The following is a 25,346-nucleotide window of genomic DNA, read 5'->3' on the forward strand; positions in this document are numbered from 1 at the left end:
CCCAAGTCTATCAACTGATATGTGGATCAACAAAATGTGCAATAGCCATCCAGTATAATATTATTCAGCCATAAAGCAGAATGAAATTCTGATACACGCTACAATGTGAACCTTGAAAACTTTATGCTAAGTGAGAGTAGCCAGACACAAAAGGCCACATATTGTATGATTCTATTTATATGAAATATCAGAATAGGTACAGTTATAAAGACAGAAAGTAGGCAGGCATGATGGCTCACGCCTATTATCCCAACAGTTCGGGAGACTGAGGCAGGAGGATTGCTTGAGGCTAGGAATTCAAGACAGCCTGGGCAACATAGCGAAACCCTATCTCTACAAAAAAAAAAAAAAATTAAAAATTAGCCAGGCGTGGTCCTAGCTACTCAGGAGGCTGAGGCAGAGAGATCACTTGAGACAAGCAGTTTGAGGCATCAGTGAGCTATGATTATGCCACTGCACTCCAGCCTGGGTGACGGAGCAGGACCCTGTCTCTTAAAAAAAAAAAAAAAAACAAAGTAGATTAGTGGTTGCCCAGGCCTAGGAGGACTAGCAGGAAGGGAGAATGGGGATTGTTTGCTAAAGGATATTGTGTTTCTTTTTGGGGTGATGAAAATGTTCTAAAATTGGTTAGGGTGTTGGTTGCACAACCTTGTAAATATATTAAAAACCACTGAGTTGTATGTAGTAAAGGGGTGAACTTTATGGTATATCAATTATATCTTCCAAAAAAAGCAATTTAGTATGCTTTTTGTCGTGAGTTGGGGTTGAGGAATGTGAAAAGATAATGCTGACTGAGTTGGAGGATTTGGGTGAGTTTGGTTGAAAAACTTTGACAGAGATAACATGGCAGTTGGGAAATATCCTAAGAACATACAAAGTGATTACTAAGAGCATAGAGGGCCCAGTTGTGATTGGATACCATACATTTATAGTAATACTCTTTATTTTGTCATTTTTTTCCTCCACCATCTAAAGCCAAAACTCAGAGTTGATCTACTTCTAGTGTATAGAAAGATGTAGTGCAAGGGAATTGAGTATTGGCAAAAGAACATTTGCAATGTAGCCATTGAATCTAAGCTGGACAGAGAAGGGAAAATCAAGGGCCAATGAATAGAGGTTTGTATGGTTCAAGGTGAGTTGTAATAGGAGAATTAAGAGAGCTGAAATGATAGGAGATGATGGTAAGAGATTTTTGGGTATGAGGTTGATATAACCAAGGAACCTGATGTTTTAAAGGAACCAAGGGTTTTGCATAAAGGCTGTAATATGGAAAATGAGGTTGAGATGGGCAGAATCCCACCTCTCAATTATGAGGTGTATGGTTGGAGAGGGAGTGGTGCAGAAGGAATATGCTGCATCTCTATGAAAAGACTTAGGGAAGTGGGGTTAGCATGTGTAAAGTAAGAAAAGGGCACTTGAAAAGAGCCAACCCCAGAAACCAGAAGTACAAATATGCTTCCAGCACTGTCCAACACATTTGGAATAACATAGTCACATTGGTGTGATCATCCCTATTATTGGGAAAGATTACTAGAGCAATCTTAGTTGAGGAACATTTCTTAAGTTCCACCTAATTTCCTTTGTTCTGGCCATATATTGACCATAGCAATGTTCTGATTATGATCTGGCCTACTAGATGACTACAGAGAGAAAATGTGTTCACTAGTCATTAAATATCTAGTACGCTTAATATAATTCTCATTACAATCTTTATAATCATCATTAAAATATTTTAAATTGGCACTCTTTTATATGTCAGGTTTTTTTCAGTGAGTGGTTAGTGTTAGAGGGAATTTTGGGATTTCCAAAGCTCAGGTCCAGACCCTGGTTCAAAGTGTTCTAAGTGGCAAAGTAATATCATTTTTGTGAGGCTTCCTGGTAGAAGCCTTCACTGGATAAGTCCCCTCTACTAGGTAACATCTGCATGATAGACCTGTTTGTATAAAGTGCAGTGAAGAGCCAAACTTGTATATTGCTTTGCCTTTGAACAAATTTCTCTTCTTTACTCATTTAGAGCAGCATTCATTACATTTCTTAAGTGCTTTGCATAAAATTTCAAAGTTCAGTGTGACCTCTGTACTGGGACATCATCAGGCACAGATGCTACATGTGAAGGGCTTTTGGCAATCAGTGGCTTGGTAGCCGTGATTCCTTTTGAATCACTCCCTCATGGACCATATGAAATGCATTCTCCCAGGATCCCAGACATATTCTTGGGAATCATTGTATTTTCCGACTTACTGGACTAGTTTAGAGGCCTTTGGGTTTCACTGCACTTTTCTTCATTTCCTTCTTTTGTTGATCTTGGCCCCTTAACCTTCCACCCACTTTATTACTCATTTCTTAGGGACCTGACTACTCAGTAACACTGAGAAAATATATCTGAAACCATATGGGTTTGAATACAACAAACTTAAGAGAGGGAAAATAAAAAAGGAAAAAATGTGTGTTCTCTGAACTTCCTTTGTTTATATGATCTGTTTATATGTTGTTAAGGTTATGTTATCCAGCTGCCTCCCCACGTTTCAGAAATGACTAAAGATATCTGGAAAACACTCTAACAGGGTCATGTTGGCATAGTGGATGAAAAGACACTTCATTTGTCCCTCACCAGATAATATATCTTCTTTTGAGGCATGGGAGCAATGCCAGGAGCTTTAAATGCTGAATCTCAAGGTTCTTGAAAGGCCATTGACTTCTAGGGATACTTTTAGAAAGAAGCCAGTCAATCCCAGGCGTAGTGGCTCACACCTGTAATCCTAACACTTTGGGAGGCCGAAGTGGGCGGATCACTTGAGGCTAGGAGTTCAAGACCAACCTGGCCAACATGGTGATACCCCGTCTGTACTAAAAATACAAAAATTAGCTGGTGTGGTGGCACGTACCTGTAATCCCAGCAACTTGGGAGGCTGAAGCACAAGAATCACCTGAACCTGGGAGGCGTGGGCAACAGAGCGAGACTGTCAAAAAAAAAAAAAAAAAAAAAGCCAGTCAAGTGAGTTCCCTAAGGTATATACCTGGCCATTTGAATGTTTGCTCACTATGGTTAGTCTGTATGGTATCTAACAGATATTACAGTTTTCTTTTGGTAAAATGAACATTGACATTGGTGTGAGGTGATGTTAGCAGCCCAGGCTTTAATCTCGCCTTTGTATTGTATAATGTGAATTAAAACTTAAGTACACTTGAGTCAGGGTTATTCAGTAAAACATGTGGAATGGAATTTTGTGGTATTTATTAGAGCTATTCCACTTGTAAACACCTTATCTTGAAGGAACTGAAAAGAGGTTGCAAGCATTCCTGCAGTAGAATAAAGTGCTTATGATGGTTGAGTGAGAAGTTCCTCTCTACCTTCCATGCTCTACCTACTGTAATGGGTAATATTTGTACAGAGATGTGTTTTTCCCATCAAGCTGTTTATGGAACTTGGCCTGCTAAATAATAAACTTAGAAGTGAGAATAAGTAAGAATAAGGAATAAAACATCAGTGTTATCTTTTGGAAATAAATCACTCCATTGAACATGGAGAATGTGGTCCTCGTGTCATCGGCATTTTCTTCATATTTCCACCTCAGTGGAGTGATCCTGGCTCTGCTTTGCCGCTGTGCTTTCCTTTTAATTGCTGTTTCACCAGGTCTCCTTAGCAGCAGCAGCGCCTGAAATAACTCCTGAGGAAGCTCCTAAGTGAATTCTCATAATTTGCTTCTCAATTCTCCCAATTGATTGAGGCACTCTTTCTTGAGTGCTTTGCAGTTCTGTGTAAGTGGCTGATGTTTGGGGTCACTGCTGAATGTTTTGTTTGAATATCCCTTTCATGATGAAGGGAAGACTGCTGCTTTTAACTACATGGGGTGATGCCCTTTGTGGTAAGCCTTGAAAGGCAAAAATCGTTTTTCATAGTGATATGCCAAATGAAATTATTCTCTTTGTCACTTTGTCCTTTTATCCTTTCAGTCTGATAACCTCAGTTCTTGTGATTTGTTTGTTTTCTTCAATTAAGCTTAGTTGTTTCCTGTACCCAGGTGCATGCTATTTCTGCTCTTGGTTATGATGGTGTGTGGAGCATATTTCTGACCTGGAAGTGTGGTTTCTTTGACTGAGAGCCACATCAGCATGCCTTCCATCCTCTACTTCCTTTGCATTATTTCCTTTTGGAGGGCTCAGTTTGCCATCATTTAATCTATAGATGATTCATCTGGGACTGAGAACTGGTAATGCTGTAATAACAATATCTTTCTTTATATAATACTCAATGCACTTACTACCTTAGATTTTCTCTGTTTATGGAGCACTTTCATTTTAATCTCTCACAATAACCCTTTGGGTTAAGTCAGCAATTTTGTCTTAGTCTAAGATGGTGAAATTGTAGCTCAAAGAGCTTAAATAGCTTGCTCAGAGTGGCAGTGCTTCTGAGTTACCCTGCTTAACAATTTCTACAGGAAATGAATACTTTTGAAGATACTCTGGATAAATAAAAAGGAATTTTCCAAACCACATCCCATTTGTTAAAACCTAACTTGTTTTCAGTCTGGTCAGTTGATAAGACCAAGGTTAAAAGGCCCATTTACCATACAGTTTAAATTGATGTGTCCAAGTCAAGAAAATAAATATTTAGGTCAGTTTTTATTCTGTTGCTTATATGATAAAGTTCAAGAAGGCTGGCTCTTAAATTAGTGGAACTTGAAATGGAAGTAATTAAGCCATTAATTTTTTTTTATTCTCTTTTCCTTTCAGAGAGATGGAAAACTTGATGACTAGCTCCACCCTACCGCCCCTTTTTGCAGATGAAGACGGTTCCAAGGAGAGTAATGATCTGGCTACCACTGGGTAAGCAGCTGCTTTAGGACACTGGACTTCTCCATAGGCCTCAAAACAAAGCTTCTAGCAAAGTAAGAGGTCCTAAAGAGGCAGTTTTATATCATAAGAATAGACGGTGCACTTGTTTCACTTTGCAAAGAGAGTGACAGCCATCATAAACCACTTTGTAATCTGCATTCAATTATCTTTTGCAGTGCTCTGGTTTTTGTGAACTGGTACAACAATATGTGGAATCTAGCAAACACTGGTGACTCCAGTTAAGAAAATTATATAGTCACCATTAAGGAAATACCTGCCACAGAGCTAGCTCTAAAAAACAAATGCATTTTTTCTGTTCAAATTACCACAGATATTAAAATAGTTTTTTCCCAAAGATCAGATTTTTTAATGTGGTTCTTTATTCAAGATGCTTAGTAACTTTAGCTGACTTCTGTTCCTTTCCCCATCCCACCCCCTTCTCCTTTCTGTGGGATCTTTTGACAAATATTTAAAGAGATATAGAAAAGGGTTAATAACAGTAGTCCACCTCTTCCCTTGAAAATCTCTGTTCCACTTGAATTTTTATCTTTTCTAGATGTTTAGAAGTTATTTGGCAAAGAGAAAGTGTGTTCACTAATAGACTGAAGTGCTAGCTAATCCCTAAGATGAATTATTTTAATATTCTTTAGAGCTGTTTAAAAAATAGGCTATACTTTGTAATTCTGTTTCCTTCCCTCACATTTATGTCTCACCTCGTTGATATCCGCCTTTGACCTCACTACTCAGATGAAAGTGTTCTCCAAGACTTTTCTAAAGGCTGCTTAGTTACTATATTCATTCAGTAAAAACTTTCTGAGTATCTGCTATGTGTCATTGTTCCAGGCATTAGATAGAAAGCATTGATCAAAATAGATAAAAATCATAGGCCTTTTAAAGTTCAAATTCTACTTGTTGAGTCAGACAATAAACAGGATAAATAAGCAAAACATATACTATGTTGATAAGAACTATAGTTTAAAAAAAGAAAAAAGTGGAGAAAAGGGATAGGAAGGGTTTGGGGATGCAGTTTTAGACAGGATGGGCCAGAAAGTGTTTAATGAGAAAGTGACTTCAATAAAGACCTGAAGGAAATAAGGCAACTGGCATGCAGTTTTCTGGGGAAGATTATCCTAGACAGAGGGAGCAGTAGGTGCAAAAGCCCTGAGGCAGGAGAGTTTCCATCTTATCGAAATAGCCAGGAGGACAGTGTGACTAGAGCAGCACATAGCAGCAGGAGAGGCAGTAGAGGACTACATCAGTCCTTCTCAAACATATGAATTGCCAAGAGAGCTGATGAAAATGCAGATTCTGATTTAGAAAATCTTAGGACCAGAGATTCTACATTTCTAACAAGCTCCCAGAGAATGCCAGTTCTGCTGGTATGAGGCCCATACTTTGGGTAAGAAGAGACTAGATCATAGGGATCAAAATATTTAGAGATCAAAATAAACCCTTTAACTTTTACTCTGAAGTGGGATAACATTGGAGGGTTTCACACAGAATTATATGATCTGACTTACGGTTTTATAAGATCCCTCTGACTGTTGTATTGAGAATAGAGTGAAGGGAGCAGGGGCTGGAACAAGGAGACCAGTTAGGGAGGCTCTTAAAATAATTCAGGAGACAGATGATAGCCTGAAGAACCATCATCTGGTGACTTTCACAAGAGTGTTTTTGGTGGAATAGTGGGGGTAAAAACCTCATTGGAGTGTGTTTCAAAGATAATGGGAATGAGGGGTAGTGAGAAGTATAGAATTCTAGATATATTTGAAGGTATACCAAACAGAATTTGCCTGAAAGAAAGGATGAGCACAATGTAAGAAGGGAGAAAAAAAGCAGTCAAAGGCAACTCAAAAGTTTTGGCCAAAGCAACTGGAGGGATGGAGTTGCCATTAGCTTAGATGGGGAAAACTGAACAAGTGTGGGAGGGAATTGTAGGAGCTCAGTTTTGGAAATTTTACATTAAAGATGCTTATTAGATATCTAAGTGGAGATGTCAAATAGGCACTTTGATATCAGGTTCTGCTATTAGGGGAAGTTTAGGCGAGACAGAGAAAGTTGGGACTTATCAGCATATAACATTCAAAGCCGTGAGACTGAATGAGATCACCAAAGAAATGAGCACTCTGTAGATGGAAGAAAGAAGAGCTCTAAAGCCTGACCTCTGGGATACTCCATCATTTAAAAGTCAGACAGAGGCCGGGTGCAGTGGCTCACAACCTGTAATCCCAGCACTTTGGTAGACTGAGGTGGGTGGATCACTTGAGGTCAGGAGTTCAAGACCAGCCTGGCCAACATGGTGAAACCCTGTCTCTACTAAAAATACAAAAATCAGTCAGGTGTGGTGGCACGTGCCTGTAATCTCAACTACTCGGGAGGTTGAGGCAGGAAAATTGCTTGAACCCAGGTGGCGGAAGTTGCAGTGAGCTGTGATCGTGCCACTGCACTCCAGCCTGGGTGACAGAGCAAGCTCCATCTCAAAAAAAGAAAAAGAAAAAAAAGTCAGAAAGAATAGGAAGAATCAACAGAGTCTAAAGTGAGTTGCTAGAAAGGTCGCAGAAAAGCCAGAAGAGTGAAGGGTCCTAGAACCCAAGTGAAAAAAAAAAAGTATTTCAAGGGAGGGGAAAAGATCAACTGTGTCAGATGCTTCTGGTACATCAGGTAAGATGGGGGCTGAGAAATGACACTGGATTTAGCATGGGTGTCATTGGTGGCTTTGACAAGAGTTATAAGCACATATCTCCTTTGAAGTGGACTTAAGGGAGGAGAAGTCAATAAGTATAAACAAGTTATTTCCAGGGGTTGTGCTATAAAGGAAAGGAGAAAAATTGGGACCTTAACTGGAAGTGGGATGGAGTTTTTTTCTTTTCATTTTGTTTTGTGTTAAGAGAATTAATATCATACGTATATGCTGATTGGACTGATCCTGTAGAGAGAAAAGAATTGGTATTGCCAGAAAGGACAGAATTGCTGAAAATCTGCCCCTGAGTAGGCAAGAGGGTGTGAGATCAAGGGTGCAAATAGAAGGGTTGTGGGCTTTAGCTAGGAACATGGATAATTTATTCATGGTAACAAAAGATCCCCCTTTTTTCCAGTCTTCATCCAACTTGTCATCAAGAAGGCATGTGATGCCTTTGGCCATTCCTGTCCACTTAAGTCAGGGATTCATGGGATTGTGAATTCCCATGTGAATTCCCAAGTGATTCCTGTCCACTGAAGTCAGGGATTCATAGGATTGCTACTCTTTCCCAAACCTAGTTCTCATATTTTACCAAAATAAGAATTTACAAGAATTAGTAACTTAAAAATTGATGGCACAGTTGAAATGAAAATGACAGTGAAAGAACAAGTTGCCTAACACATCTAAAATGATTGAAATATTTGGAAAACAGCACTGCAGAGATCAAACTGGATCTCGATGGTACCTCTTTTCAGAGAAAATGATTGGCATTGATTTCATAGCTTCTTTTACTTACTCTTTTTTAAAGGACCTCAAAAATGTAGGAACCTCCTGCTAAAATCATCTATTATGTTTCCTAGAAAGGGTCAGAAAAGTTTAATTTCTTTCAGTCCCAGGACAGTCTGCTTCCTGTTTTCATCCATTTCTCGGTCCACTGTAATCTGGAATTTATTCTCATAATTCCACTAAAACTATACTTAACTAAAATTGCCAGTGACCTTCAGGTCTTCAAATTTAGCAGACACTTTTTGGCCTATCTTATTTAACATCTGCAACTTTTTACTTGATTAGCCACTACCCTTCTCAAAAGTCTTCCTGCCTTGGCCTCTGCAATCGTCTTCTCTCCAGTTATCTTAATGCCCTTCTCAGTCTCCTTTCCTAGTTTTTCTACCTTGCTCATACAATGATATTGCTTCAGCTGAGTTCTATCCTGACTTTTCCTTCTTCTCACTGTCTTTCTGGAGAATATCTAGCACTGCCCATTATTTCCATGGGCTAATGCTTCTCGAGTCTATCTTTATGCCCTTTTGTTCCACTTCTGTTCTCCTGGGGCATGTTTCCAGTTGTCTGTGGTACATTTCTACTTAATTATGCTACAGGTGTTTCAAATTTATCATTTTCTTGTGTGTCTGTCCACACACACACACACACACACACCCTGTTTTTACTTTGATTAATATTAAGTACATAATCATCAATTGGAAACCTCAGAATTATCTTTGACTCTTCCTTTCTTTCACTATTAAAGTCAATCAGTCATTAAGTTCTCTCCATTCTACCTCTTTTTTCTTTTTCTTTTTCTTTTTCTTTTTTTTTTTTTTTTTTGAGACTGAGTCTTACTCTGTCACCCAGGTTGGAGTGCAGTGGCATGATCTTAGTTCACTGCAACCTCCCCTTCCCAGGTTCAAGCGGTTCTCCTGCCTCAGCCTTCTGAGTAGCTAGGATTACAGGCACTGCCATCATGGCCAGCTAATTTTTTTATTTTTAGTAGAGACGGGGTTTCACCATGTTGGCCAGGCTGGCTTTGAACTCCTGACCTCAAGTGATCCACCTGCCTTGGCCTCCCAAAGTGCTGGGATTACAGGCGTGAGGCACCACACCTAGCCATTCTGCCTCTTAAGTATCTCTTAACTGTCCTTCTGCTCAGAATCCTGCCTGCCTTTGTGTCTCACTTAATCTATTACAGTAACCTCTTGATAGTCTCCCTTTCTCCTTTTATACCAAGTTCTTTCTATCTGGAATCGTGTTGTTTACCTTGATGAATACGTACTCATCTTTTAGGACCTCCTCTATAAATTCTTTCTTAACATCCCTCCATACATATAAAATTCATCATACCCTCTACCATACCTCTATGGTACTTTTAACAAGCCATTATTTTAGTACTTACGTTGCATTGTAATTATTCCCTATAATACTATGGGTTGTGCATTCTTTCAGAATAATGACTGAATATTACTCTATTATCCATCTTTCTACCGCTCTTGACTTCCCAACTCCTCCCTCGATCAAAAACAAAAACAAAAATACTCACTAGCACATGGTGTTACCTTTCCTTCTATTCCTTCGTCCACATGTAATAAGATAAGTCCATCTAAGACCCTACCATTATCTGTACCTTCTTGTGTTCACTCTTCAGAAGGGTGAAATCTGGTTTGCTAACTCATCTGGAATAGTATAGTGGGAGCAGGAAGTAAGTACATCTGTCTGATTTATTAACATGTATACCTGAACTTACTTAACTTGATAGTATTGTTCTTAGATGATCTGATTGTCACTAAACGCTATAATCCAAGAAGAAATAGCCAATGAAATGTACCGTTAAGAGATTTTTCTTACACCCTTTAAGACCTCTTTTGTGATAGTTGGCAAACTGCCTCTACAACTCCCATTGCTATTCACTTTTTTCATTAATAGTGTTTTCCCTTTACATTGGAGATACATGAAAGGTAGCATGTAAAAGTCAGATTCTACTGCATATTCAGAGCTAAAACATGAAGTCTGTGTTGAGAGGAGATCATCTTTTTGGAAGAAGATTATAGTTGTTTTTGGTAGGAGATGTCTTCATGGAACTGACCTGGTTTAATCAAGCACTGAAACCAGTTTTTTTAAAACGCCCTGTAACGTCTGTGAATACGTTGTTTACATTTATACAGATTATTGGGGGAATTAATTCAAGGACTGGCATGTGCTTTTGCTGGCAGGGAAATTTATCTAGAACCTTAGTAAATAGGTGGAGTTTTTGTGTTGTTGATACTTCTGCCTATTATTCAGGTTAAATCACCCAGAGGTTCCATACAGTAGTGGCGCCACATCATCCACCAACAATCCAGAATTTGTGGAGGATCTCTCTCAAGGTCAGTTGCTTCAGAGTGAGTCTTCAAATGCAGCAGAAGGCAATGAACAGAGGCATGAAGATGAGGTAAGCTGAAGTATCTCCTTCTGTTCCTATCCTCTGAAACTTCTGAAGAAGCAGTCACAAGGAAGGTGTGTTGATCAAGGTGTTCATATGACCTTCTTATATTCTTAGGCTGATACCTGCAAAATTTTGTTTTCTATTTCTTGTTTTATACGGAACCATATTAATAATTTTAATGACATAGACAGGTAGACTCTTTTTTCCCTGTTCCCTAAGAAATGTATACTTACCTCATATTAGATGTTGAACAAATACTTGTTGAATGAGTGAATGATTTAATCATTAATAAGTAACTAATGAGAAGTGTACATGCCCTTGCTCAAGGCTCTGCTCAGCAAGCCCTGCTGCATGGAGCCCTATGTGCCCAAAGGATTCATACTACTTACCAAATCTTTCACCCTCCCATAGGGGGTAACTTTCCTTAACTCACACAAAGGCGTATGAGCCTGGGCAGTCATGCCCTTGTTGGACTTTCAGTGTTTCTTACAAATAACTGATTACATTGTCAGTGTTTTAAGGCACTCTTTTTTTTTTTTAAGCCAATAAAGAGTGCCACCATTGATTTTTGTCTTTTTTCTTATTTTAAAAAAGCTGGCCGGGCATGGTAGCTCATGCCTGTAATCCTAGCACTTTGGGATGCCAAGGCAGGTGGATTACCTGAGGTCAGGAGTTCAAGACTAGCCTGGCCAACATGGTGAAACCCCGTCTCTACTAAAAAATACAAAAAATTAGCCAGGTGCAGTGGTGTGTGCCTGTAATTCCAGCTGCTCAGGAGGCTGAAGCAGGAGAATCTCTTGAACCCGGAGGCAGAGGTTGCAGTGAGCCAAGATAGCGCCACTGAACTCCAGCCTGGGCTACAGAGCGAGACTTCGTCTCAAAAAAAAAAAAAAAAAAAAAAAAAGAAAGAAAAAAACAACTAATTTTTTTTTATCTATCCTATTGGCATTTTTAAAGATTATAATGAATGCTTAAAGTTTCTTAAATACCTTGAAATTAAATTGTTCTGTTGTTTTTTGTTTTTTTTTTTTTGAGGTGGAGTCTTATTCTGTTGCTCAGGCTGGAGTGCGGTGGCACAATTTCAGCTCACTGCAACCTCTGCCTCCCAGGTTCAAGCTATTCTCCTGCCCCAGCTTCCCAAGTATCTGGGATTACAGGCACATGCCATCATGCCCAGGCAATTTTGTATTTTCAGTGGAGATGGAGTTTCTCCGTGTTGACCAGGCTGGTCTCGAAATTCTGACCTCAAGTGATCCGCCTGCCTTGGCCCTCCAAAGTGCTGGGATTACAGGTGTGAACCACCGTGCCAGCCCACAGTAGCTTTAATGTAACTAGGTTTAAAAAAAGAAAAACCTAATACCAAATACATAATTTGCCCAGTGGTGAATTATACCATTTTATATATATTTGGAGGAGTAGAGTACTACAATTAGTATTTAGATATTTTTGTCCTTGTTTATTTATATTTCTCTTGTCTGAAATAAGAATTCTTGTATCCATGAAATATTAACTGATACGGCTGTATTTGTAAAATTATGAAGTAAAAATATTATGTACCTTACATCTTATTTAAAGGGCCAAGAAGAAAGGCTGTGGTGAAACATCAGTGGTACCTCAGTCCTTTTCATTTCTTTAGTTTTTTTCAGAGGTGATTCAATCTTTTGATTTACCTGGTAACTCAACATATAAAGACCTCTGACTATAAAATGTACATCTAGGCCGGGTGCAGTGGATCACGCCTATAATCCCAGCACTTTGGGAGGCTGAGGCTGGTGGATCACCTGAGGTCAGGAGTTCGAGACCAGCCTGATCAACATGGCAAAACCCCATCTCTACTGAAAATACAAAAATTAGCTGGGTGTGGTGGCACATGCCTGTAATCCCAGCTACTTGGAAGACTAAGGCAGGAGAATCACTTGAACCTGGGAGGCGGAGGTTGCGGTGAGCCGAGATAGCGCCATTGCACTACAGCCTGGGCAAGAAGAGCAAAACTCTACCTCAAAAAAAAAATTAAAATAAAATGTACATCTAAAGGAACAAATTGTCAAGCCAAAGAGCTCGTCTTCATTTCAGATATATTATACTTACTAAAATTTTTCTGAGACTTAGATATTAATTTAGTATCTATCTGCTATGCTATGCTATCTGCTATCTGCTATGGGAAATAAGCTAGTCTTTGAAAGTTATCAATGAGCAACTCCCATTGTGAGTTATTTTTAATTTCTGCTACAACTTGTTTCTTCTTTTGCCTGGTGCACGTGACACCATCTTACTCTAATCTGACAATGTCTGCCTCCCTGCCACAATGCTGCATGTGCTGCTGTATTTCCCATTTGGATACTCTCCTGTCAGGAATCAGGACCTGACAGTTGTCTGTGGGACAGTCATATGCATATGAAGGTCAAAGCTGAGTGATCATGGCACCTCTTATTCTCATACATTGAGATTAGCACAAAAATAGCCCTTTAGTGTAACATTTTGTAGTGTGATACATAAAAGAGGTTGCAAGTGAAGCATCTGGAGTTCCTCAAAAATTGCATTGCTGTCATTTGTATATTACCTACAACAGATGTGGAGAGCTTTGAATATCCAGGGCCAAATTGCAACTCTTAATCCTGTTTTGTTTGTTGTTGTTTGTTTTTGTTGTTGTTGGGTTATTTTGGGAGATGGTTGTTGTTTGGTTTTTGGTTTTTTATTTTGTTTTGTTTTGTAGCAACGAAGTAAACGAGGAGGTTGGTCCAAAGGAAGAAAGAGGAAGAAACCTCTTCGAGACAGCAATGCACCCAAATCCCCCCTTACAGGATATGTTCGGTTCATGAATGAGCGTCGAGAACAACTTCGAGCAAAGAGACCAGAAGTCCCATTTCCAGAAATCACAAGGATGTTAGGCAATGAATGGAGTAAACTGCCTCCTGAGGAAAAACAGGTAATTGTTCCTATTCCTGACTCTTTGTTTGGTTTTGATTATATCTCAGAAATAACTTATATAAGAAAAGCAAAGAGGATGGACAGTTGATTCTGCAGTTTTGTCACAGTGCCTAGGAGACCAGAATAGCAGGGTCCATCATAGCAATTTTCTCTAGCCTAGTGATTTTTAAACTATTTGCTAGAGGGGTGTGAGCAGGGAAGGAGTCTAGGACTCCCCTCAACCAAAGCAACACCACTTTTTATACGCTGAGTTCACATAAGATTGTTTTAAGTGGTTCAGTATTAAGAAATCTGTCAATAAAATGTATTCCACTGAGTTAAATGAAAAGTCGTGAATTAAATGAGAAAAAGTCACTTGACACAATTCTGCAGTTCACATAAGATTTTTAAGAAAAAATGTTACTGCTTTAATACTTTTTTTAACTAGAGTTCTGGCAAATTAACCTACTATTGAAAATAAAGCAAGAACAACTTGAATTCTTTCTCCTCTAAGACAGAAACTAACCTGATGGGCAAACTGAAATGAATCCGTTCATTAGAGAGATTTGAAAGGAATTAAGGACAAGATAGCCATGAGCTGGTTGAAGTACCACTAAAGCTGAGCAGTGGTCATGGTTGTGGGAGCTGCTTTGGGTTAAAAGTTCCCAGCATTCCCAGCATCTGAAAGATATCTGTATTTCTTTTACGTCTTAAACTCTTTTATGACTTACACTTTTTAAAAAGGATTCCAGACACACTAAAACCAAATGGAGAAATACTCTCCTGGGAATTAATTGAATTCAGAAATTTTCAAAGAGATCAGATTCAGTTGCAACTTTTGAAGCTCTGTGTTTGTGGTAGCAAGCTAGTAGAAAGCAGTGAATATCATCCATTGTTTTGGCGCTACTGTATAAAAGGATAGTGGGCTGTACATACTATGCTATTCTTTTCTTTTTTTTCTTTATTTTAAAATTAATATGTGCTCATTATTCTCTTTTCAGAGAATACAGAAATGTATAAACAAAAATGTAAAAATAACAGTGCTTATTTCTTGGGATAACCACTATTACGTAGGACAAAGGTTTTGTGTTTGTTTTTGTTTTTTTAACTTTTTTTGGAAATAATTTCAAATACACAAAAAGTTACAAACATAAAAATAATACAAAGAACATCCCAACACTCTTTACCCAGATTCACCTATTGTTAACACATTTTATTCCATTTCTCCATTTGCATATGCACTTATATGCTCAGTCTTTCTTATACTTTTGCATGCTCAGTCTTTCTCTCTCTCTCTCTCTCTCTCTGTCACACACACACACACACACACACACACACTTGCATGTGTACACCCAGACACACACAAAATTTTGTTTTAATCATGTGAGGATAAATTATATACATTGTAGCCCTTTACCCCCAGGATATTTCAGTGTGTATGTCAAAGAATATTTTCTTATATAACCATAGTGTAGTCATCAATTTCATAATTTTTCATTAACAGTGCTTTAATCTGTCATCTATATGTTGACTGAATGTCATTTCTTTATAACATTTTTCCCTTCCAAAACAGGTTCCAGTCTAGGGTCAGGTTTTGTGTTTAGTAGTCAAGTTTCTTTAGCTTAAACTGGGATATTTCCATAATCTTTCTTTTTCTTTTATAACATTGATATTTTTTTAAAATACAGTTCCCTTCTGCTTCCCCCGCTGCTTTTACCTTTAACAGAACATTGCTCATTGTGTATTTTTCAGATGTTTCCTTGTGATTAGATTGAGGTTGCGCATTCTTGGTGGGATTACTTGCATAGGTGGTGGTGTGTTCTCAATATGTCACATATGCAGGCACACAATGTCCTTTTGTTTCTCACTAGTAATGTTAATTTTGCTTACCTGGTACATTATTTAAATTCTCCTTTGTCATTAATAAGTAATCTATGGGGAGACGATTTAAGAACATACAAACAGCCTGTTTTACATCAACATTTTCCCCTAGATTTAGCATCCATTGATTATTTTTGCCTGATTTAATCTTTATCATTATGGTTACAACGTGATGATTTTTCCAACTCCAGCACTCCCTTTACATTTACCAGGTAGCCTTCAGCATTCTAATCTAAGCAAGATCTTGGCTTACTGCAACCTTGACCTCCTGGTCTCAAGCACCCCTCCCACCTTAGCCTCCTAAGTAGCACACACCACCAAAACTGGCTAATTATTTTATGTTTTGTAGAGATGGGATCTCACTTTGTTGCCTAGGCTGGACTCAAACATCTGGGCTCAAGCAGTCCTCCTCTTGCCTTGGCCTCCCAACATCCTGTGATTACAGATATGAGCCACCATGCCCGACCCCCTACCCCCATTTATTTATTTGTTTGTTTGTTTGTTTGTTTGTTTTTTGAGATGGAATCTTGCTCTGTCGCCCAAACTGGAGTGCGGTGGCACACTCTCGGCTCATTGCAACCTCCACCTCCCAGGTTCAAGCGATTCTCTAGCCTCAGCTTCCCAAGTAGCTGGGACTACAGGCGTGCACCATCACACCCAGCTAATTTTTGTATTTTTAGTAGAGATGGGGTTTCAGCATGTTGACCAGTGTGGTCTTGAACTCCTGACCTCAAGTGATCCACCCACCTCGGTCTCCCAAAATGTTGGGATTACGTGCGTGAGCCACCACGCTCAGCCTCTACACCCATTTATTGTATTTGTATGGTAACAAATCATTGGTATTGTGTCTGTTATAAATCATACTAATAATAGTATGAAGTTTTTTCTACTAGTTTATAATTTATTACTGTACTTAATTATTTTGGTGCTTAAATTGTACCAGATTTGGCCAGTTGAGTATCCCCTACATCTGGCTCTTACGCGGGACAAAGTGTTTAACATAATTTCTGAGTGTGTTTTCTGTTCATTTAGAAGCAGTATTTTTATACTTTCTTATACTTCATTTTGATGAATGAAAAGGGCAAAGCATTAAACAAAATAATCCTGGTAGATCAATGAACTTTGTTTAAATAATTAATAGCACAAAGCAATCAAAGCATGTAGATATAGGTTCTCTCAGAGTAGTCCATTTTTAGGTCCATAGGATGAGGTCATTATTTTTATGTTCTTTGTGTCTCCCAGCTTCATTGCTCCAACCTCCTGGCTCTTAAAGGGCCAATTGATGTATGACATCATCCCCTCAAAATGGGCTGGAGACAGCAAAACAAAGTAATATTCTGTTCCTTCCCTTGGGAAGACTAAGTGTGCCTATGTGGTGTGCACATCTCATGAGGATGACTCTAGTGGCCATATAGAGTTCTATCTATAGAGTTAGAAGAATAACTCTAATCATCTTCATGAATTTTTTATAAGAATGATCTCAATAGAACTTGTCTTCATTAGGTTAGAAAAGGCAATAAATATTCTAAAAACTCATAATGACCTATTTACTTTTATAATTGAGAGGTTATATTTTATTCTATTCATACAACTCTTGTTTTTCTGATTCTTTTTTAAGGCATATTCCCTATATTCTTTTCTTCCCATGTTCTAATTGTCCTGTTTTCTTCAAATAGGTAATTTAATTTTATTTAAATAGGATCTCATTTTCTTGAAAATAATTCTGTATTTCTTTCCTAGCGCTACCTTGATGAAGCAGACAGAGATAAGGAGCGTTACATGAAGGAACTGGAACAGTATCAGAAAACAGAGGCCTACAAGGTCTTCAGTAGGAAAACCCAGGACCGTCAGAAAGGCAAATCTCATAGGCAAGGTATCAAAACCAGAACCAAATGTATTTGTAGTTTGTTGTGGGTGATGGAGTGTCATAAAGCCAACTGTTAAGAGTGGTAACTATAAAAGATGTGTTTCTGTTTTTTCTCCACTATCCAGTATTCACTTACAAGCATTATCTTGAAATTTTATTAAAATCACATTGCTCTCATTTAGAAATTTCAACTGGGTTTCCGTGTCTATTATCAATGATTTTGACTTGTCCTCCGAGACCCCTGTTAGTTGCCTGCCCTTCTTTTCCTGATTCCCAGTTTAGGCATTTCTCTGCCTGTAAGCAAGCCTATCTACAAAATTATATCAGTAACTTCCCTTTAACACTTCTAAGCCTTTCATGTGTCATTTTTGAAGCACCATCCACAACTAGCCTATTTTTCCTTAGCCATTGCATCTTCTCTATACTTGGGCATCTAGCCTGCTAAAATTATAGATGTTGTATAAGTAGTCTTTGGTTTGTGTCTTCTGTCCACTCTTCCACCCTTTTCTCCCTAAAGTTAAGAACTGTGTCTGCTGTTTCTCTTATGCCTAATTATGAATTCTGTAGGCATGGGGTTCCCTTACTTTTGTTGGCTGACCGATTAATAAAGCCTTAAGGAAAAATATCATATGTTATGAGAATCTACATATACAAGCAGGTTTTATAGTTTGGCAGAGTCGTATACTTGGGTTTTGTTATTGCTTTCTTTTTAAATGTAATGTTCTCTTATTCTTTTATATTTTTAGATGCAGCCCGGCAGGCCACTCATGATCATGAGGTAATTAGCCATCTGTCTACATATCATATATATGTATTTATAATAATGTTGCTTTTTGAAATGCTATTGGATTTTTTTTTTTTTAATGAATGGCAAAGTATTTCCTATCTCGTAATTCAGATTAAATGAGATACTTTAGCTTGGGGGTTCTTAGCATATGGCAGACACTTACGTTGTGTGTCTGTCATTGAACTACAGCCCCTAACCTCAATCCTTTCCTGTGATCTGAGAATTTTATTGGCTTTAAATGCCAAAGATGGCTGGAATTTGGAATGAAGTATAGAAATGAGGGCTAGCTGAAAGCTATAACATGACCATAGTTTATCATCACCAAATACTTAAATCTGACTCTCAGAAAAGTTGTTATTTAAAGAATCCAGCATTTGCTTAAAGCGAACTGTTCAACTACAATGTCGATAGAGCACAAGCGACAGTATCTCAGGTTTGTTTTTTGTTTTGTTTTGTTTTTTGTTTTTTTGAGATAGAGTCTCACTCTGTCGCCCAGGCTGGAGTGCAGTGGCACAATCTCAGCCCACTGCAACCTCCGCCTCCCGGGTTCAAGCAATTCTCCTGCCTCAGCCTCCCGAGTAGCTGGGACTACAGGCTCGTGCCATCATACCCGGCTAATTTTCTGTATTTTTAGTAGAGACAGGGTTTCATCATATGAGCCAGGATGGTCTCGATCTCCTGACCTCATGATCCACCCGCCTTGGCCTCCCAAAATGCTGGGATTACAGGCGTGAGCCACCACGCCCGGCCCAGTATCTCAGTTCTCACACCTCCTTTCCTATTCCCTCACTTCACTAGCACATGTTTGTGTACTGGCTTCTTTCCTCCCACTTGGTTCAGCCCCATTGTTAGGATTTAGGCCTGTGTTTCTGTGTGTGTATGGGATTTAGGTGTGTGTGTTGTTTCAAATTCTGTTTTCTCCTTCAAACTTTTCTTGTTTCCTCTAACTTCCTTTAACCCTCATGGCTCTCTATACTTGTGTTATGTGCTTAGCTGATCTGACCTAGGGGTTTTGAGGTAATTCAAGGGCTCACACTCTTTGGTTGTAATGTCTTTGTGGACATACACAGTCTAGTTTCCATCTTTATATCCAACCCCATACCACCTATCATGATACCTTTGCCTTGAGAAGGTATTCCACAAATGATTATTTTATGGAATCTATTCAAAGTTGACCTGAAATAACTGAGAATTTGAACAAAAAGAATTTTCTGATGTACTCTTTTACATGTGTTTGGTTTTTTACTAAATCAAGGAAATGTTGGTTACCTTAAAACATAGAGAAAAGATTCAGATTCACAGGTCAAATAGACGTTATTACCATCTATGAATTATAAAGTGAGAAGCATAGTAAATATTTACATTTTATTCTTCAGATAAATCCTATATAAATGTAATTATATATGACATTCTATGCTCTAATTAGGATGAAATGTTATGTTGTTTTGCTGGAGAAACTTTGTATGTATTCTTTGTATTTTAAATCATAATAATATTGTAAACTTTTCATATTAGCAGACATTTGTATAATTACTTCTCTCTTTCTTTGCCTGTGTGCCCAGCTATCAATATCATGAAATTCCTGTGCTTCTTTTTTTCTCTATTTTATAGCTTCTCTATCCTTAACAGTTACCAAAGAGAATTTGGACAGTAACCTGAAACATTAGATCTCACATTTTCTAGTCAGTCATCTGAATAGGTGTCAGTCATCTGACTCATTTCATCACTATGAATTTTGCTGGCCAAACTATATGTAGCATTTTTGTCTTCAGTAAACTTGATAGTTGCAGTCAGAAAAGATGTAGATTTAGTCTGTATCATAGAACCTGCTGCTGATTATTTGAGAAGTGAAGGTGTTTATTCAGATACATTAGTGTGATATGAATTTCTGTAATTTCTGTGATTTGCAAAAAGAAGTGAGTCTCTGTATTTCCCTGTTACAGGATTAGACACATGTTAAACCAAACAAAAAAAAGGAGTGAGTAGATGGAGAGCCAGCAGTTGTTTCTTAAAAGGTTATACAGTAGGTTCTGTAAATCCATGTGTTGGTATGGCCACAGCAGGATAAAGCTCCTTTAGTAAGCGTGTTGACCCAATTAATGTCCCTTACTTCATCCATTTTTATTTTTCACTGAATAATATGTTTCCTAAATTAGATAATTTTAGAACAATTGCAGTATAAAAGAACTGATTTGAAAGTTTTAAAACTGTTTTTAAACACTGTTACCCAGTAATTTTCTTACATATAACTTCTTAGTATAATAGAAGTTCAGAAAAATAGCACTATGGGTGAAAAGCAGCCGCAGAAGGAGCCCATGGAAAGGAGTAATTGAATCAGGACTTAAAAATGACCTAGGTTTTGTGGGCATCTCAGGGTGGGTAAAATGGCTTGAGCAGAGGTATGAGTAAGTTTTTAATAAAAGAGCAAATATCTTGCAGTGTCTAAAGACCATAGATCCTAAATACATACTTATTTCCCTTTACTTATCCTATGAGGAGTAAAACACTGAGACTCAGTGATCCTCTCAACTGACCACCTCATTTTGCCAGTGAGGAAAGTGACTTGCCTAAGACAGTATATAGAATGGAAAGAATTTACCCAGAATCACTTACTGAATTAAATTAGAGGCAGAATTGTGACAGAAACCCAGGCCTTCTGTGTCATAGTCTAACATTCTTGACAGCACAGTGCCATGCTACATAGCATAAATTACAGCGTTGAAAGTAAAAATGGGCCTCGTTGCCCAAGGTGTCAGCAAAATGTGTTGCCAGTTAAGTAAACTATTTGGTTTGTGTATAGTAAAGAAACCTATTGTATTCCTAAATGAAACTTGGATCCCTAAGTCATTGTTACCAAGGCAGGTACTGGAGAGGGCATATTAGAGCTAAAGAAATGCTGACCTGAAAGCCATTCTGCATAGCAGTGGGGCACTTCAGGCTGGTACACAATGTTAAGAGCATTTCCCAAAGTAAAAGTCTCTTGAGAGAAGCACATATCACACTCTTTGAAATTCTGGCCCTGAGCCTAGATCACAGCAAAATAGGTTCAGTTCAAAAGGGCCTCTTTTCTCTTAACCTCCACTCAATATATAGAATGGAAACCAAAGTGAAGAATATTCTTGCTCCTCTCAAATCGAAAGCCAGCCCACTAGACCCAAGAGTTAGCGAGTATTACTCTCAAGAAAGTGTCTATATCTCATGTGAAAACTAAGATAGAAACAATAATTTTGTTTCTCCTTTAATTTATGAGAAATGACAGAATGACACTCAGCTTGAACAAATTAGACCCTTTCAGTGAAAGGGTAATCAGATCCTTATGATTTTAATCCTTTGAGCTATCCTTGGAGCAGCTTAAGTACACCCAAGCCCCCAGAAGGATCCTCTCCATGCCGTGAAATGTGCTCAGTAATGGAAGAGCGCTGATGGTTTTTATTACCACTCTTCCATTAAGTAGAATTTCTCTGTTACCTTTCAGAGACTGAACAGTTTCATTGAATTGCTTTAATGTTTCTTATTTTGTGCTCTGAGAATCTGTACCAAGGGGCAGTGTGTTAATGCACCTATGTGGTGCTGTCCTCTGCCCTTACATAATTAGCTTGATTTGGACTGCTCTGGCAAAGAAGAGAAAAGATTACCAGTCTGAGGAGAGTCAAGACTTTGGAGGAGAGGGATCTTTGTACCATGGTAATGGGAGCCAAGCGTCTCCACTTTACCCATCTAACTGGCAGATATTGAGACGTATAGCTTAGGTAACTGATCTCATGTAACTGCAGTTAAGTTGGAGATTGAATAAGATAGGATGATAATGTCCTAAGTCTTTATGCTGTCATCTGTGGACTTATGTTTATATCTGTTATGCCTTGTGCATGTTGGGATTGTGTGTCATTAAGTTTTGTTTTCCTGCAGCAGCCCAGTAACAGTTAAAGCATATGGGAAGCCAGCAAATTTGAGAGAAAGCCACTGCGAAATATGGCTAAGATTCCTTCTGGAACCAGCCTTTCTTGTTCATACATTAGTTTCCATTGAAATCCCCTAGGAACTGGCTCGAGGTAGAGCTTTGCATGTTGAAACTTGGGACTTTCGATTGATAATTTTGTTGTTCATTTTCAAATTATTCTGGGAAACTTTGCTTTCTTTTGTTAGGAAGAAAAATACAAGTAGAAATTAAGTGCTCTGAAATTACATAGCTTTTCAGTGTCTTTCTTGCTCAGCTGCCATTGGCAGGTGGTTCACACAGCCCAGCCCCCTTACTAGGCGGCCACCGTTATGAATACAGGAGCTCGGGTGTCAGATTTCCCTCTTAAGCTGTGAACTGCTTAGCTTTTCTACTGGGCACCAAGTCATTTTTGTGTTCAAAGATTTAAAAAACTAGTGGAGGCTGGGCACGGTGGCTCAAGCCTGTAATCCCAGCACTTTGGGAGGCCAAGGCAGGTGGATCACCTGAGGTCAGGAGTTCAAGACCAGCCTGGCCAACATGGCGAAACCCCGTCTCTACTAAAAAAATACAGAAAATTAGCCAGGCATGGTGGTGGGCACCTGTAATCCCAGTGACTTGGGAGGCTGAGGCAGGAGAATTGCTTGAACCTGGGAGACAGAGGTTGCAGTGAGCTGAGATCGTGCCACTGTACTCCACCCTGGGCAACAGAGAGGGACTCCCTCTCAGAAAAAAAAAAAAAAAAAAAAAAAAAAGCTAGTGGTGACAAGAGTAGGAAAGATACATTCTGTCTAGCTTTAAACAATTGTTTATAGGAATGAAATCTAGGTATTATGTTTGCATGTTTTTCATGTTATAAAGGTCCTGGGATCTTAAGATTTCACTAGCAGTTTCTTCATTTCTCACTTCCTGCCATTTTACCACCTTTGTTATGGAAAATTTTGAACATTATGCCAACACACTTAAAATTAATATTCACAATGCTTTCAACTTCAAATTCATTTTAGAAACGACAGCCAAAGCATCTTGAGTTATTGACTTTATTCTTAAAGATCATTGTGGAATATATTTTGCAATGATCTTGTGAGGCTTTTTTATTTTTAATGGCTTATTGGTGAATTAATTTTAGGCTTTGTTATTCTTTTGTATCTCACATAATCGTTTGCTTTCTAATTTTTAGAGCCTGGTTATTTCTGATTTCTCGGTCTCATGTGTTTGTTTGTTTATTTTTCCTGTGTCTAAAGAAAATCTAAAAGACCCCAAAGATAGGCTGCCTCTCTTAAGTAAATAGAAGTACCAATGGAATATCATAATTATTGCTCATAGCAGTTACATTTCTGCTTAAAATTCTTATTGTCCACTCTGCAAATTTATATTGCATAATCTTATCTCAGGGAGCATTTTACATGCATAACCAACAAAAGTGACTGAAAAAAAACTACTCTTTCTCAATTCCCACTGCAATCACTTTCACAACTGTATACTGTTGACTATTCAAAACACAAGGCTAAGAAATGGCTTCAAATTCTCCATTAGGGAAATTTACGTAACTTTGTTTTAAGGTTTCTAATTGCACAGTAGTTGTATACCTGAGAGAAGTGAATACTTTACCTGCTTAAGCTCTGTGAAAGTTGGATTCCAATGAAAAGATGAATACATTTCCCTCACAGACTCACCTGGACTGATTCCTGCTCACCCTATTCTTTCTTTAAAGAAGACATGATCATTGTCTTCAGGCACTATTATTTAATTTATCTTCTATTAAGAATTAACTGTTTTGTTCCTCTTGATTCACAGAAAGAAACAGAGGTAAAGGAACGGTCTGTTTTTGACATCCCTATATTTACAGAGGAATTCTTGAACCATAGCAAAGGTGATTACTGAAGTTTCTTTTTGTGTTTCTCAGATTTTTGACAGGGGACTTAGTTCTCAGAAGAAATTCATTGCTCAAAAGCAATGGTAGTGTTATCCCTCCTTAGGACTACTCAAAGACCAGTGAAGGAAAGCTAGGGCATTGTTGTCAAAGCTTCTTTGGTCTCTGGATGAAAGGAAATAAATGCAAATCACAAATTCACTTGTCTTCAAACTCTTAGCCTGGAACCCCTTGCACAAATAAAAACTTACATGGGAGTCCAAAATATAAAATAAGTAAGAGCAAGTCTGATCCCATTGTGGTAAAGATGGGTACCTACAGCTGTGCTTGGCCAGTCTCCCAGGATCCCCCTGCAAAACCCCTCAGGCTTCTGATTGTACAATTTAAAAAGCAAAAACTAACAAACAAAAAAATACTGGGAATTGAAACTGTTTGTTGCAATCTTATGTATGGAATGTGACTAGCTTTAAGAATTAAAATAGCTCTGGGGAGTCAGGCGTTTCATTGCTGAAATTGCTATCTGGAATGCCATAATGAGAATAGGGAGATGAGGTGGGGTAGCTAAATTAGAGGCAGCTAAGCAGAACTTCCCTGTAAGAGTCATTGGGACTCCTCAGAGACTCCTTCTAGTGCTGCATGTGTTCTGTGGGATGTATGTCCTCAGCTCGGGAAGCAGAGCTCCGCCAGCTTCGCAAATCCAACATGGAGTTTGAGGAGAGGAATGCAGCCCTGCAAAAGCACGTGGAGAGCATGCGCACAGCAGTGGAGAAGCTGGAGGTGGATGTGATCCAGGAGCGGAGCCGCAACACAGTCTTACAGCAGCACCTGGAGACCCTGCGGCAGGTGCTGACCAGCAGCTTTGCCAGCATGCCCTTGCCTGGTAAGTCCTCCTGCCTGAGAACTGTCAGTGACAGGGGTGTGTGTGTTGTGTGGAGTGGGGTGCTGTTTATGTTAGTACTGGTGTGGAGAGATTGAAATCTCCTCCAGAGGAAAATTAATTAAACTACATTTTTTCTTCTCTGGATATAATAGAATGTCAGTATTGGCTAAAATCGTCCAATGTTTCAGGCTCTCTGGTCATTCAAATTTTTGTCCATTTATATTTTAATATCTATTTTCCCCTCTTTTAAGCTTAATTTGCTATTCAGAACACTGGAAACTGAGTAGTAAATCTTGAGAGTGTTTCTTCTTATGTATGTTTGTTTGCTTTTTAGTTGTTTTTGTTTTAACGGGAAGGAAGGGAGAATGAACACTGGTATTTCTTATATACTCTTTCATTTTGAAGATAGTCATAGCAGAAAGCTGAGCGAGTCTAACCTTCTGTTACATGCAGCTGCTCATATATACTATACAGCAATTATATAGCCCATCTGTTTATTTAGAGT

At 38.5% G+C, this 25,346-nt stretch overlaps 1 protein-coding gene across 7 annotated transcripts in view; it reads left to right on the forward strand.

The window, feature by feature from the left end:
- Nucleotides 1-25,346, forward strand: part of HMG20A (high mobility group 20A) — a 99,163-nt gene that overhangs the window by 32,782 nt on the left and 41,035 nt on the right. For 6 of the 7 annotated variants that reach the window (XR_001751049.3, XM_011521158.4, XM_047432109.1 and 3 more), the window contains 7 exons: nucleotides 4,735-4,827; nucleotides 10,571-10,718; nucleotides 13,426-13,638; nucleotides 17,241-17,373; nucleotides 18,114-18,145; nucleotides 23,886-23,961; nucleotides 24,626-24,841. Coding sequence is in view for 6 of the 7 variants with exons in the window: in XM_011521158.4 (XP_011519460.1) it covers nucleotides 4,739-4,827; nucleotides 10,571-10,718; nucleotides 13,426-13,638; nucleotides 17,241-17,373; nucleotides 18,114-18,145; nucleotides 23,886-23,961; nucleotides 24,626-24,841 (907 nt within the window). In the remaining variant the exon portion in view is untranslated. The remainder of the gene's footprint in view (nucleotides 1-4,734; nucleotides 4,828-10,570; nucleotides 10,719-13,425; nucleotides 13,639-17,240; nucleotides 17,374-18,113; nucleotides 18,146-23,885; nucleotides 23,962-24,625; nucleotides 24,842-25,346) is intronic. The other variant, NM_001304505.2, reaches the window with a different exon arrangement.

This window comes from Homo sapiens, chromosome 15 (genome assembly GCF_000001405.40).
Source record: "Homo sapiens chromosome 15, GRCh38.p14 Primary Assembly".
NCBI lineage: Eukaryota > Metazoa > Chordata > Mammalia > Primates > Hominidae > Homo > Homo sapiens.